The 15,156-nt window shown below is 46.9% G+C and overlaps 1 protein-coding gene across 2 annotated transcripts in view; it reads left to right on the top strand.

Moving 5' to 3' along the window:
• The window catches only part of ACAD10 (acyl-CoA dehydrogenase family member 10), a 71,047-nt gene that overhangs the window by 39,954 nt on the left and 15,937 nt on the right, over positions 1-15,156 (top strand). For both annotated transcript variants that reach the window (NM_001136538.2, NM_025247.6), the window contains 4 exons: positions 1,956-2,137; positions 3,800-3,950; positions 7,917-8,062; positions 10,825-10,998. In NM_001136538.2, the coding sequence (NP_001130010.1) occupies positions 1,956-2,137; positions 3,800-3,950; positions 7,917-8,062; positions 10,825-10,998 (653 nt within the window). The remainder of the gene's footprint in view (positions 1-1,955; positions 2,138-3,799; positions 3,951-7,916; positions 8,063-10,824; positions 10,999-15,156) is intronic.

The following is a 15,156-nucleotide window of genomic DNA, read 5'->3' on the forward strand; positions in this document are numbered from 1 at the left end:
TAAACTGGAGGCTGAGGCAGATGGATCACTTGAAGCCAGGAGTTTGAGACCAGCCTGGCCAACGTGGTGAAACCCCGTCTCTACTGAAAATACAGAAATTAGCTGGGCATGGTGGCGCTCACCTGGAGTCCCAGCTACTTTGGAGGCTGAAGCAGGAGAATCATTTGAACCTGAGAGGCAGAGTTTGCAGTAGGCCAAGATCGCACCACTGCACTCCAGCCTAGGTGATAGAGTGAGACTCCATCTCAAAAATAAATAAATAAATAAATAGAGTAGTAAACTGTTTGCTAGTAATGACCAAAAGATGGATTAGTGACATGTCATTGGGTCACCTTAGTACTGCTGGGTGGTATATACACCACTCATACCACCAAAAAATGATAAAAATAACCTCAATAACAAGAAGGGATACTTATTGAACCCTTATTGGAACCAGAGACCATGTCAGGCACTCTGTATGTTTGTTCCCTAATTCATTTCTTTTTTTAAGTAACAAATACCCTGGAAGCTCCCTTAATTCTTGCAATTACCCTTTGAAGTATGTATGTTTTACAGATTAAAAAACAACAACATGGCTGGGTGCAGTGGCTCACGCCTGTAATCCCAGCACTTTGGGAGGCTGAGGCGGATGGATTACGAGGTCAGGAGATTGAGACCATCCTGGCTAACAGAGTGAAACACCGTCTCTACTAAAAATACAAAAAATTAGCTGGTTGTGGTGGCACATACCTGTAGTTTCAGCTATTCGGGATGCTGAGGCAGGAGAATCACTTGAACCCGGGAGGCGGAGGTTGCAGTGAGCCAAGATCGTACCACTGCACTTCAGCCTAGGCAACAGAGCGAGACTCCATCTCAACAACAAAGCTCAGAGAGGTTTAATAAGTCTCTCAGGGTCACTCTTCAACTAAGAGCAGAGTTGGGATTTAAACCTGGTTCCAACCAGGTGCAGTGGCTCACACACGTAATCCCAACACTTTGGGAGGCTGAGGCAGTCAGATTACCTGAGGTCAGGAGTTTGAGACCAGCCTGGCCAATATGGTGAAACCCCATCTCTACTAAAAATACAAAAATTAGTCAGGCGTGGTGGCATGCACCTGGAGTCCCAACTATTTGGGAGGCTGAGGCAGGATAATCGCTTGAACCCAGGAGAAGGAGGTTGCAGTAAGCCAAGATCGCGCCACTGCACTCCAGCCTGGGCGACAGAGCAAGACTCCATCTCAAAAAAATAAATAAATAGGCCGGGAGCAGTGGCTCACGCCTATAATCCCACCACTTTGGGAGGCCAAGGCGGGTGGATCACGAGGTCAGGAGATCAAGACCATCCTGGCTAACACGGTGAAATCCTGTCTCTACTCAAAATACAAAAAATTAGCCGGGCGTGGTGGCGGGTGCCTGTAGTCCCAGCTACTCAGGAGGCTGAGGCAGGAGAATGGTATGAACCTGGGAGGCGGAGCTTGCAGTGAGCCGAGATCGCGCCACTGCACTCCAGCCTGGGTGACAGAGCGAGACTCCGTCTCAAAAAATTAAAAAATAAATAAATAAATAAACAAAAAATAAAAACCTGGTTCGGTGTGACTCCAGAGGTCCTTCTCTGAGCCTTGCTGCTTGCTACATTATTACACTTTGAATCCATTCCTGTGGCTTACACAAATGAACCAGGGAGAAGAGAAAAGCATGCTGTCCAAGAAGCATAGATGGGTGTGCATGTGTGTGTGTGCACGTGTGTATGTATATGTGTGTGTGCATGTATGTGGATCGATCCATTGCAAGAGAGGATACTTCTAATGCACTGTGCTTATGTGAAAGGAAAAAGGAAGTATCCAGTGCTCTGGGTCTGAACTCTTCACCAGCTCTCAACCTGTATACCCAGGGAAAGTGACAAAGAATAGGGTCATGACTAACAGCCTGCCACATTATGACTCTGATCCCTGAAACCCCTTCTGTGTTCCTCCCAGTGTCATTGGCACCCCCTTCTATGTGATGGAGTACTGCCCAGGTCTCATCTACAAAGACCCTTCCCTGCCAGGCTTGGAGCCCAGCCACAGACGAGCCATATACACTGCCATGAACACAGTCCTGTGCAAAATTCACAGTGTGGATCTGCAGGCTGTGGGACTTGAAGACTATGGGAAGCAAGGTGAGCAGGAGGCCACGTCTCCCATGCTGGTTGTTTCATCACTAGTGCTTCTGCTTTTAGGATCTGAATCGTTTTGGGTCGTTTTGAGTATTAGCACACCAAGCGTAAGGCAGACTTAGCTTCTTCCTTGGAAATCCAGTTTAGTTTTAATGGAGGTGTTGCTGACTTAGGCATTTGGGCCTTCAATAAATCCCTTTATGAACTACACAGTCTTTCTTCCCTGCAACTTTTTTTTTTCATTTTTTCTTTTTTTCCCTTAAATATTCTGCTATCCAATTCCCTGCAACTTTTATCTCACTAGACCATTTAAATTTTTTTTCTGATACTGACCATAGGTATTTAAAATGTATTTTTCTCCGTTTTTTACCCTTTCCCCTAAATATTCTTTTCAACAGGAATATATGTATTTTTTGAGATGGGGGTCTCACTGTGTTGCCCAGGCTGGTCTCAAACTTCTGGGCTCAAGCCATCCTCCTGTCTCAGCCTCCCAAGTAGTTGGGACTCTGGGCATGTGCCACCGTGTCCAGTTTCAACAGGGATAGTTTTTTTGTTTGTTTGTTTTTTGAGACAGGGTCTCTCTCTGTCGCCCACACTGGAGTGTAGTGGTGTGATCTCGGCTCACTGCAGCCTCAACCTCTTGGGCTCAAGCAATCCTCCTGCCTCTCCCTCTTGAGTAGCTGGGACTACAGGTACGCACCACCATGCCCAGCTAATTTTTGTATTTTTAGCAGAGACAGGTTTTTGCCACATTGCCCAGGCTCTACCCAAACTCCTGCGCTCAAGTGATTTGGCCTCCCAAAGTGTTGGGATTACAGGCATGAGCCTCTGCAGCCAGCCCTCATGTAGTTCTTACCACATGCCAAGAATAGTTCTAAGGGCTTTACATATTTTATTCTCCCAACAGCTCTATGAGGACCATCTCAAGATGAGGAAACTAAAGCATAGAGATGTTAAGTAACCTGCCTGAGATCACAGAGCTAGAGAACAACAGAGCTGGGTTTCATAGCCTGGCAGTCTGGCTCCAGGGTTCATGTGCTCAGCTAACCACTGTTGTTTAGCCAAAAAGTGATTTATGAAAGGCTATTAGGAAGCACAGAAGATCTTTTTTTTTGAGATGGAGTTTTGCTCTTGTCACCCAGGCTGGAGTGCAATGGCGCAATCTCGGCTCACTTCAACCTCCGCCTCCTGGGTTCAAGCGATTTTCCTGCCTCAGCCTCCCAAGTAGCTGGGATGACAGGCACCCACCACCACACCTGGCTAATTTTTGTATTTTTCAGTAGAGATGCGCTTTCGCCATGTTGGACAGGCCAGTCTCGAACTCCTGACCTCCTGCCTGCGTTGGCCTCCCAAAGTGCTGGGATTACAGGTGTGAGCCACCATGGCCGGCCACAAGGTCTTTAAGAGGACCAGAGATCATACTTGGAGACCATATAGCTAGGAACAGCACCCAGACCACACTAATCCAGCCAAAGAGCTGGTGACTTCCACCTTGGGGCAGCAGGAGCATCATGTGGGAAATTCTCCAGTCATAGGAACGTGTTCAAAGACACTGCACCACCCAGTGCAGAGCATGACAAAGGGTTTCACTGCACTGGTTTTTTTTTCCGCTACTTTCAGAGGTTGCTGAAATTGCACACCAAGTTCTAATCCTATTTCCCGCAGGGGACTATATTCCACGCCAGGTACGAACCTGGGTTAAGCAGTATCGAGCTTCCGAAACTAGCACCATCCCAGCCATGGAGAGGCTGATCGAATGGCTGCCCCTCCATCTTCCCCGTCAGCAGAGGACCACAGTGGTGCACGGGGACTTCAGGTAGATGTGGTGGCAGGGAGAGCTGAAAAATGACAGCAAGGATGCTCCAAGGGGGAATTGAGCAATTGGTCTTGGTGCAATTTACAGCTGGGAATTATTCCTATTACAAAGCACCTGTCTGTGTGTGGCCTTTTCAGGCAGGGTTTCTCAGCTCTGGCACTGTGACATGTTGAATTGGATAAGTTTTTGTGGTGGGAGCTACTGTGCATTGCAGGATGTCAGGCATCATCCCTGGCCTCAACCCACTCGATGACAGTAGCACCCCTCCCCACAGAGTGTGACAACCAAAAATCTTCGCAGACCTGGTCCAGTGTTCCCAGGGAGGGCAGCATTCCTCTGTTGAGACCCACTGTTTGAAAGTAAGGCAGAGTCTATGGCCATACCACCCTGAACAGGCCCGATCTCATCTGAAAGTAAGGCAGAGTGAGGGTGCCACTCACCTCCCAAGAGGCCTGGGGATGGACATTCTCACTGGGTGTAATGAAAGGATTGAAAGAGAGTGACAGGGTCTCTGGGGGTATGTGATGAGTCTGTAGCACGGCTAAAATGGGAACTTCAGTATGCCTGGCGTCTGGCGGCAGTGTCTAGCTTTATCTTATCATCTCTTGCTGTGAAAACTGCCCGTTAGGTACTTTTATAGGGTAGTGTTTATAGTGTTTTCTGCTTCGCAGCACCTGGAGACCTGCTTTTGATGCAAGCATGCCTTATTTGGCTTGTCTTCTTGCCCATCTGGGGACTCAGGCCTTTTATTAAACAAGACTAGACAGTGAAGGCTAATTTTAAAGACATTTCCGTTTCTTTTTTTTTTTTTTTTAGACATCGTCTCACTCAGTCGCCCAGGCTGGAGTGCAGTGGCGTGATCTCAGCTCACTGCCTACCCCACCTCCTGGGTTCAAGCAATTCTCCCGCCCCAGCCTCCCGAGCAGCTGGGATTACAGGTGTGCACCACCATGTGTGGCTAACTTTTGTATTTTTGGTAATCCAAAAATACAATACATTTTTAGTAATACAAAAATGTGAGATGGGGTTTCATCATATTGATCAGGCTGGTCTCAAACTCCTGCCCTCAAGTGATCTGCCCACTTTGGCCTCCCAGAGTGCTGGGATTATAGGCATGAGCCACCATGCCCAGCCTTAAAGACATTTCTTTGCCTTCCAAATTTGATTGGCCTCTCTTCATTGGCTTGACCGGTGTCCCTCGCTCCCGGCTTCTTCCGTTAGCCAGCCACCTTTGGGGATCCCCCTGGGTCTGAGAGTGGACAGCTGAGCTTTCTTTGTCATGTGGTCATCACGGGAGCTTGAGGAACCTGCTTCTGCATCAGAGACTGATGGGGCCAAGTGCTTCCCCCACACTGCCTTGAACGTGGCATGCAGTTGGGCTGCATTTGACCCCCTCCTCCATCTTCTTTCTCCACTTGGGATTCTAGAGCACTTGCCTGACAACACTTTCCTTGCCAGCCATTGCCATGTATTTCCTTTGGCGGGGAAGACCTCAGGTGGCCTTTGTGTCACCAGCCCACAACAGCTGCTCCGTGGACCTTGTCTTTGCTTCTCTTGGCACCTCAACAATCCACGAATGTGATCAAGTATACAGCAGGCAGGAGATATCCAGTGCAGTCTGAGCACCCCCTCCCCTAGCTATAGTGAAGTATGATGATCATTTAGGATGTTGCCTCCAGGAAAGGCATCCTCTGATTTTAGAGAGCGTGCTGCTGCTTATTGATCAACACAGTCAGAGATAGTTCTGTCTTTTGATGGATAGAAGAACATTTCTTGCTAGTGGAGTGAATCAGCGGTGGTGGGAGCATAAACTGCTGCAGCTACTTTGAAAAGTAGTAGGCAGTGGCCAGGCACGGTGACTCAAGCGTGTAATCCCAGCACTTTGGGAGGCGAAAGCGGGCAGATCACTTGAGGTCAGGAGTTCGAGACCAGCCTGGCCAACATGCCAAAATCCCATGTCTATTAAAAATATAAAAATTACCTGAGTGTGGTGGTGCCCCTGTAATCCCAGCTACTCGGGAGGGTGAGGCAGGAGAATCACTTGAACCCGGGAGGCAGAGGTTGCAGTGAGCCAAGACCGCACCACTGCACTCCAGCCTGGGTGACAGAGTGAGACTCCATCTCAAAAAACAACAAAAAAAGAAAAGTAATGGGCAGTAACATGGAAGATGGGAATATGCTACAACCCATCGTTTCTTGTAAAGAAGCATCTGCTGCAGCTTTGCACCAAGAGACTCAGGTGAAGATGTTTGTTTTGGTCATGCTTGTAATTATAATACATGATAAATAAAGTGTAGTTTGGCCATATGTTGGAATTCTATTTAGTGAGTAAAATAAACCAATTTGCTGTACATAAGTCATAAGTCTCAAAAAAGATAATCGAAGTAGAAAAAAGTTTCAAAAGGGTAATATATCATTTATGAAAATTTAAAAATAATTGAAAGAACACTATATGTGGTATATAGGTACAGGTATAGATAAGAGAAATATAGAAATGTCTGAGACTGATATATACCAACTTCAGGGTAGCAGTAAATCTCATTTTTAAAAAATCTGAAGCAAATGTAACAAAAAAGCACGTACAATATCTGTTAAATCTGGAAGGTGGACACATGAGTTCTGTCATTATGTCATTCTCTGTATTTTTCTGCATGCTTGATGTTTACTTTTTCTTTTAAATAAAGCATGCATTACAGACAGCCCTGGCAGGAAACAGAAAGCATGAAAGAGGCTATCTGGGGAGAGTTCAATATAGGGTTATTTAGTTCAATATAGCGTGGTTTAGAGGAACCGCTGAAGAACAGCGTGGAGTCCCGGGGCCAGTAACAGTGAGGGGTCAGTCTGACAGGGCAAGCATGTGCTGTGGTTATTGCTACTCTACAACAAACTTTGTCAGAACTGAGTGGCTGTCAACAACGACAGCAGTCATTTTGCTTATGAATCTTTGCAGTCTGGGGACAGGACAGCTTATTTCAAAGTAGGGCGGCTGTCGGGTGGGGCTGGATCTTCTGAAGACTTGCTAGCATGCTGGCCCTGGGCAGAGAAGATATTAACAGCCGGGCTCCTTGGGCCTCTCTTTCTGTCTCTTTGTGGTTCCCACATGGTCTCTCCAGCATGGCAACTTCTGGGTAACTGGACTTTTTTTTTTTGAGACAGGATCTTGCACTGTCACCCAGGCTGGAGTGTAGTGGCAATTCATAGGCTGGAACATAACTCACTGCAGCCACCAACTCCTGGGCTCAGTGATGCTCCCACCTTAGCCTCCTGAGTAGCTGGGACTACAGGCGTGCACTACCACGCTCAGCTAATTTTTAAATTTTTTTTTGTAGAGATAGGATCTTGTTATGTTGCCCGGGCTGGTCTTGAACTCCTGAGCTTAAGCAGTCCTCCGAAAATGTGGGGATTACAGGCATGAACCATTGCTCTCAGCCCTGGACTTCTTACCTGGGGGCTCAGGGCTCCAAAATAGTGTGTTTCAAGAGACAGAGGGCTGGGCAGAAGCTGTATCACGTTTTCTGACCTAGTCTAGTTTCAGGAATCCCTCAGCATCACTTCCACGTGTCTTATATCTGTTAGAAGCAAGATGCTTCACTGGGCCAAGCATTAGACTCTACCTTTTGTGGGAGGAGTGTCAAAGGATTTACAGATCTGTTTTAAAACCATCACAGGGAGGGAGTAATTCCCGGAACCCAGAGAGGCTAGCTCTCTGGGGAAGGCTGCAGAGAAGGAGCTGGGGAAATAAATAACCAGGCCCTTTCCCATCTCCTGCTTTTGATTGGCTGAGTCCAGCTGGAAGCCAGAGGGCAAGGGAGCCTTTGGAGCACACAGCCCAGGGAGCTCAGGCACCCGGGCACAGAGGGGATGGGAGGGTGGGGAGCCAAGCCTAAAGGGCAAACAGACCACGCAGAATCCACCCTAGCCGGCAGTTTTCTTAGTGCTGTCTCTATTCCTCCTGCGACTTTTCAGGCTCGACAACCTGGTGTTTCATCCAGAAGAGCCAGAGGTGCTTGCTGTCCTTGACTGGGAACTTTCTACCTTGGGCGACCCCCTTGCTGATGTGGCCTACAGCTGCCTGGCTCATTACCTGCCATCCAGTTTTCCCGTGCTGAGAGGTAGGAACTGCTGCTGGAGGATAGTGGGGGAGCAAGCCAGTTCTCCAAGCATTTGGGAGCAAACTCAGCTGAAGTAGTCCGTGATTGGGCGGGGGAAGTGAAAGTGAGGTCCTGGTGGTTCTGGTGGGAAACATAACTAGAATGCAGTCCTGTCACATTTACGGGAAAGTGGATATAGGATGTGTTTTAAGTGAAAAGTATGCCTGTATAGGTACCGCTTATGCTTTTACACAGCTAACTTCTATTTAGGGTTTTAAATTAAAAACACATTCATTGTGGCTGGGTGTGGTGTCTCATGCCTGTAATCCCAGCACGTTGGGAGGCCAAGGCGGGTGGATCACAAGGTCAGGAGTTCCAGACCAGCCTGGCCAACATGGTGAACCCTGTCTCTACTAAAAATACAAAATTAGCTGGACGTGGTGGCGTGTGCCTGTAACCCCAGCTACTCGGGAGGCTGAGGCAGGAGAATTGTTTGAACCTGGGAGGCAGAGGTTGCAGTCAGCTGAGATCATGCCATTGCACTCCAGCCTGGGCAACAGGGCGAGACTCCATCTCAAAAAAAACAAAAACAAACCACATTTATTGTGAAAATACTAGAGCCAACAGATAGCAACAACAACAAAACAGTTAAAATCATTAGTAGTCCCAGAGATAACCATTTGCTGACATTTCAGTATCTATCCATGTCATCTTTTCTTCTGTGTGTATATGTACATTTCCTAAAACAAAACAAAAATGTAACATGATCTAATGGCATGCTTTTTTTCACTTCATTGTATACTGTAGACATGTTTTCATGACATTAAGTATTTCTTCTATAGCATAATTTTTAATGAGAGCATATAATTTTATTGTATAGAATTAAGGGAAGACGGCCGGGCGCGGTGGCCCACGCCTGTAATCCCAGCACTTTGGGAGGCCGAGACGGGTGGATCACGAGGTCAGGAGATCGAGACCATCCTGGCTAACATGGTGAAACCCCGTCTCTACTAAAAATACAAAAAAATTAGCTGGGCGTGGTGGTGGGCACCTGTAGTCCCAGCTACTCAGGAGGCTGAGGCAGGAGAATGGTGTGAACCCGGGAGGCGGAGCTTGCAATGAGCTGAGATGGCGCCACTGCACTCGAGCCTAGGCAACAGAGCAAGACTCCATCTCAAAAAAAAAAAAAGAATTAAGGGAAGACATTTGGGTTAATTCCTATTTAGATATTTAATTTGTTTCCAATTTTTTAGTATTACTTCCCCTACTTCCATGAAAAAAAGGCAGTGAACATCCTTGTAGTAATATATTTGCCTATATATAAGGTATACTCCTAAGATTAATACCTAGGAATGGAATATATTACATGCTTCTAAATCATGAAAATGTCACAACTGGAGGAAATAAGTGAATTTTTTTTTTTTTTGAGACGGAGTCTCGCTCTGTTGCCCAGGCTAGAGTGCAGTGGCGCGATCTCAGCTCACTGCAAGCTCCACCTCCCAGGTTCACACCATTCTCCTGCCTCAGCCTCCTAAGTAGCTGGGACTACAGGCACCCACCACCACGCCCGGCTAAATTTTTGTTTTTGTAGTAGACATGGGGTTTCACCGTGTTAGCCAGGATGGTCTCGATCTCCTGACCTCATGATCCGCCCGCCTTGGCCTCCCAAAGTGCTAGGATTACAGGCGTGAGCCACTGCGCCTGGCCCGTGAAATTATTTTATTTGCTATAATTATCATTTTCATAATTTGGTGAGATCTTTTTATTTTTATATTTATTTATTTATTTGTTTATTTGTTTATTTATTTTTGAGATGGAGTCTCCCTCTGTCACTCGTTTTATTTATTTTTGAGATGGAGTCTCACTCTGTCGCCCAGGCTGGACCACAGTGGCGCAATCTCGGCTCACTGCAACCTCTGCCTCCCGGGTTCAAGCGATTCTCCGGCCTCGGCCTCCTGAGTAGCTGGGATTACAGGCGTGTGCCACAATGTCTGGCTAATTTTTGTATTTTCAGTAGAGACAGGGTCTTCACCATGTTGGCCAGGCTGGTGTCGACCTCCTGACCTCAAATGATCTGCCCTCCTCGGCCTCCTAAAGTGCTGGGATTAGAGGCATGAGCCACTGCACCCAGCCAATTGTTTTTTTTTTTTTTTTTTTGAGATGGAGTCTTGCTCTGTCACCCAGGCTGGAGTGCAGTGGCGTGATCTCAGCTCACTGCAACCTCTGCCTCCTGGATTCATGCAATTCTCCTGTCTCAGCCTCCCTCCCAGGTAGCTGGGATTACAGGTGCACGCCACCATGCCTGGCTAATTTTTGTATTTTTAGTAGAGACAGGGTTTCACCATATTGGTCAGGCCGGTCTTGAACTCCTGACCTCAGGTGATCCACCTAACTCGGCCTCCCAAAGTGCTGGGATTACAGGCATGAGCCACTGTGCTCGACCTGAGATCGCTCTTTCCATATCATTTTTGATCAAATGACTGGTTGAAGATAATATGCATCCACCCTTAACTGTGGCCAGATGGAATTGGAAGCTCCCATTCCTTCCTTTACTGCCAGTTGAGTCTGAAACCTGTAAGAGCCAATTTGTGAATAATGACTTCATGCCTGGATCCCCAGCCATCTAAGGGAGCAAGAGCCAATGCAGGAATAAGCTAACCCATGGAACTGGTCGTGAAACTAATTTGCAAGGGACATGGCGATTTTCAGAATTTAAATATTTGCCAGCCACAGGGGCGTGTCACGTCAGTGACTACCCATGAATGGCTCTGTCTTTCTCGCAGGTATTAATGACTGTGACTTGACACAGCTGGGAATCCCTGCTGCAGAGGAGTATTTCAGGATGTACTGTCTCCAAATGGGGCTCCCTCCCACTGAGAACTGGAACTTCTATATGGCTTTTTCCTTTTTCCGTGTGGCTGCAATCCTACAGGGAGTCTACAAGCGATCACTCACAGGTAATGGGATGGCTGCCCTGAAGAGCCACTGCGGGGTGAGTCACAGCAAGGACCGTGCCTCCACCTGGAAACCCTCTCAGGGCCACAGAGGCTTTGGAGAGACCGATTTGGCCAGGATTCTCTGAGGTTCAGTTAATCTAACCATTTGTCCATAAATATTTTCTTTACAATATTTATTTATTTATTATTTGTTTTTGAGACAGGGTCTTGCTTTGTCACCCTGGCTGGAGTCCAGTGGTTTGATCCTGGCTCACTGTAATCTCTACCTTCTGGGTTCAAGCGATTCTCCTGCCTCAGCCTCCAGGGTAGCTGGGACTACAGGCCTGCGCCACCACGCCTGGCTAATTTTTTTTTGTATTTTTAGTAGAGATGAAGTTTCACCATGTTGGCCAAGCTGGTCTCGAACTCCGGGCCTCAAGTGATCCGTCTGCCTTGGCCTCCCAAAGTGCTGGGATTACAGGTGTGAGCCACCATGCCCAGCCTCTTTACAATATTTAAACTTGTTTTTTAATTATTAAAGTAATGCACAAAGAAATTTTTCCAGTTAAAGCATTCATGCACATGATCAAAATTTGGTCATATAGAATTATGTAAAATTGTATCTCACCCTTTTCAACACCATTCCTCAAAGATAAATGTTACTGTTAAGAGTTTCCTGGGCCCTCCAGTTTTTCTGTTTATCTGTCTTCTCTCTCTCCTCCTACTTTTACACAAATGTGATCATCCTATGTGTATTTTTCGGTACTTTGATTTTAAAATTTTGTAAGCTTAAGAATTTCTGTGAAATATGTGTGTGACCATTTGCATATTTAACAACTATATGAGGCAAATTTCTTGGTGTGTGTGTGTGTGTGTGTGTGTGTGTTGAGACAGTTTCTCACTCTGTCGCCCAGGCTGGAGTGCAGTGGTGCGATCTTGGTTCACTGCAACCTCCACCTCACCAGCTCAAGCAATTCTCATGCCTCAGCCTCCCAAGAAGCTGGGATTATAGGCACATACCACCATACCCGCGTCATTTTTTTGTTTGTTTTTAGTAGAGATGGGGTTTTGCCATGTTGGCCAGGCTGGTTTCGAACTCCTGACCTCAGATGATCCATCCACCTCGGCCTCCCAAAGTGCTGGGATTACAGGCATGAGCCACTGAGCCCGGCCAGTCCCCAAGTCTTTAGGTAAAACCCCTGTGGTCTTTGACAACTTCCTTGCTCGCTAGTATGACAAAATGTTCCAGGTTCATCTTGTCTATCCAGCCTACCCAACATGGTGAAACTGTGTCTCTACTAAAAATACAAAAATTAGCCAGGCATGGTGGCGGGTGCCTGTAATCCCAGCTACTTGGGAGACTGAGGCAGGAGACTCACTTGAACCTGGGACGGGGAGGTTGCAGTGAGCCGAGATCGTGCCACTACACTCCAGCCTGGGCGACAAGAATGAGACTCTGTCTCAAAAAAAAAAAAAAAAAAAGACTTGGGAGCCAACCTGAACAGGCTCCCACTTGCTAACAATAGGAAACTTTGGGCATCACCAAGGATGATAGCTGAAATGGATGAAACACATCAGGTATGTTTAAATCCATGAGTAGTAGCCGGGCATGGTGGCTCAGGCCTGTAATCCCAGCACTTTGGGAGGCCAAGGTGAGCAGATCACTTGAGGTTAGGGATTCAAGACCAGCCTGGCCAACATGGTGAAACCACATCTCTACTAAAAATACAAAAATTAGCCAGGTGTGATGGCGGGCGCCTAAAATCCCAGCTACTCAGGGGACTGAGGCAGGAGAGAGAATCACTTGAACCCAGGGGGCAGAGGTTGCAGTGAGCTGAGATCGCGCCTGTGCACTGCAGCCTGGGTGACTGAGCAAGACACTGTCCCCCCAAAAATAAAAATTAAATAAATAAGTCCATGAGTAGTGATACAAAAACAAAGAGACAAAGTCTCATTGATGACCTCAGAGGTTGCCAGGAAAGCAACTTATTATTCTGAAAATTGGAAAATGGGGTGGGGGGGTGGGGAATCAAGCATTTGTCCTGTCTTTCCTGTACAAATGATACTGCAGGCTATCCAAATAATCAATGAGGGAATGTTTCTCTCTAGAGAAGTATCCTGGACAGAATAATATAGAATTTGCATATCACCAATTTGCAACTCCTAATGCATTAATGGATGTGGGCAATAAGCTTCAATGAAAGCCAACACCACTGAGAGACAGACAGCCAGACATTATATACCTCCTGATGCTTCCCTCAAAAGTTACACTGACTCTGCCCAGGTCTCCAGTGCTAGCTGCCAACTCATGGGAAACACAGGGTTCAGAGGGACATGTTCAGCAGCACCCTGGGCACAGCACTCACAAAATCCAGATTCTGGAAAACATCACAGGGCAAACAACTCAGTTTCTTCAAACACTTACATTTCAAGGGGAGGAAAAGGGTGAAAAAGGAACCTGTAGATTGAGAGAGACTTAAAAGAAACATCAGGCTGGGCGTGGTGGCTCACGCCTGTAATCCCAGCACTGTGGGAAACCGAGGTGGGTGGATCACCTGAGGTCAGGAGTTTGAGACCAGCCTGGCCAACATGGGGAAACCCTGTCTCTACTAAAAAATATAAAAATTAGCCAGGCCTGGTGGCGGGCACCTGTAATCCCAGCTACTCGGGAGGCTGAGATAGGAGAATTGCTTGAACCCAGGAGGCGGAGGTTGCGGCGAGCCATGATTGCATCACCGCAGTCTAGCCTGGGCAACAAAGTGAGACTGTCTCAGAAAAAAAAAAGGTGGGGGGAGCGGGGAGAGACTTAAAAGATACGTTAGCCAGTTACAGTGTTGGGACCTTATTTGGATCCTTTCTTGAACAAATTATTTGGAAAAAATTTTGATGATAGTCACTGAAACTTGAATTCTGAGTGGATAGTCGATGATATGAAGAAGTTAACAGTTAACGATTTTTTAAGGGTAATAATAGTATTGTGGGTTTTTTAAAAAACATTTGTTTTTAGAGTTTTGAAAGAATCCTAGATGAGATATTTGGGATTTACTCCAAAAAATCCAGGACAGTGGGAGTGGGGATGGCAGGGAATGAAACCAGACTGGGCTGGCATCGATCATTGCGGAAGGCGAGCAGTAGAACCCGTAGGCTTGTTATTCTCTCCTCTCTACTCCTGTGTGTCTTTGAAATTTTCCAAAAGGAGGCCAGTCATGATGGCTCACGCCGGTAATCCTAGCACACTGGGAGGCCGAAGTAGGTGGATCACCTGAGGTCGGGAGTTTGAGACCCCTGGCCAACATGGTGAAACCCCGTCTCCACTAAAAATACAAAAATTGCCTGGGTGTGGTGATGCCGCCTATAATCCCAGCTACATGGGAGGCTGAGGCAGGAGAATCACTTGAACCCGGGAGGCAGAGGTTGCAGTGAGCAGAGATCGTGCCACTACACTCCAGCCTGGGTGACAGAGCAAGACTCCATCTCAAAAAAAAAAAAAAAAAGGCCAGGTGCGGTGGCTCATGCCTGTAATCCCAGCACTTTGAGAGGCCGAGGCGGGGGGATCACGAGGTCAGGAGATCAAGACCATCCTGGCCAACATGATGAAACCCCGTCTCTACTAAAAATACAAAAATTAGCTGGGCTTGGTGGTGTGTGCCTGTAATCCCAGCTACTAGGTGTCTGTAATCCCAGCTAACTAGGGAGGCTGAGGCAGATGAATAGCTTGAACCAGGGAGTCAGAGGTTGCAGTGAGCCGAGATTGCTTCACTGTTCACTCCAGCCTGGTGACAGAGCGAGACTCCATCTCAAAAAAAAAAAAAAAAAAAAGAAAAGAAAAAGAAATTTTCCAAAAGCAAAACTTAAAAACAAAAGGCAAGGAGAAAGAAGGAGAAAGGAATTCATCATGGGATTTGCTAGTGCTGATGGAGTGTTTAGCTTTGCAGTCAGTGACACCCCAAGCTTGCTGGCAGCCTGTGTTCTCAGCCAGGTTGCCAGAGTCTTCTGAGAGAAGCAGTTGCAGTAGGGGAATTGATCATTCATTCCCAAGTATATGAGCCTCTACTAAAAGCCAGCACTGTGCTAGGTGGTCCTGGAGATACACAGTCATGAGAAAAACTGTCCGGAGAAAAACCAGTACCCAGAGAATTTCTAGTTTAACTGTACCTGGTCTGATAAGCAGGGGATGCT

The sequence above is a fragment of the Homo sapiens genome, chromosome 12 (assembly GCF_000001405.40).
Source record: "Homo sapiens chromosome 12, GRCh38.p14 Primary Assembly".
Taxonomy (NCBI): domain Eukaryota; kingdom Metazoa; phylum Chordata; class Mammalia; order Primates; family Hominidae; genus Homo; species Homo sapiens.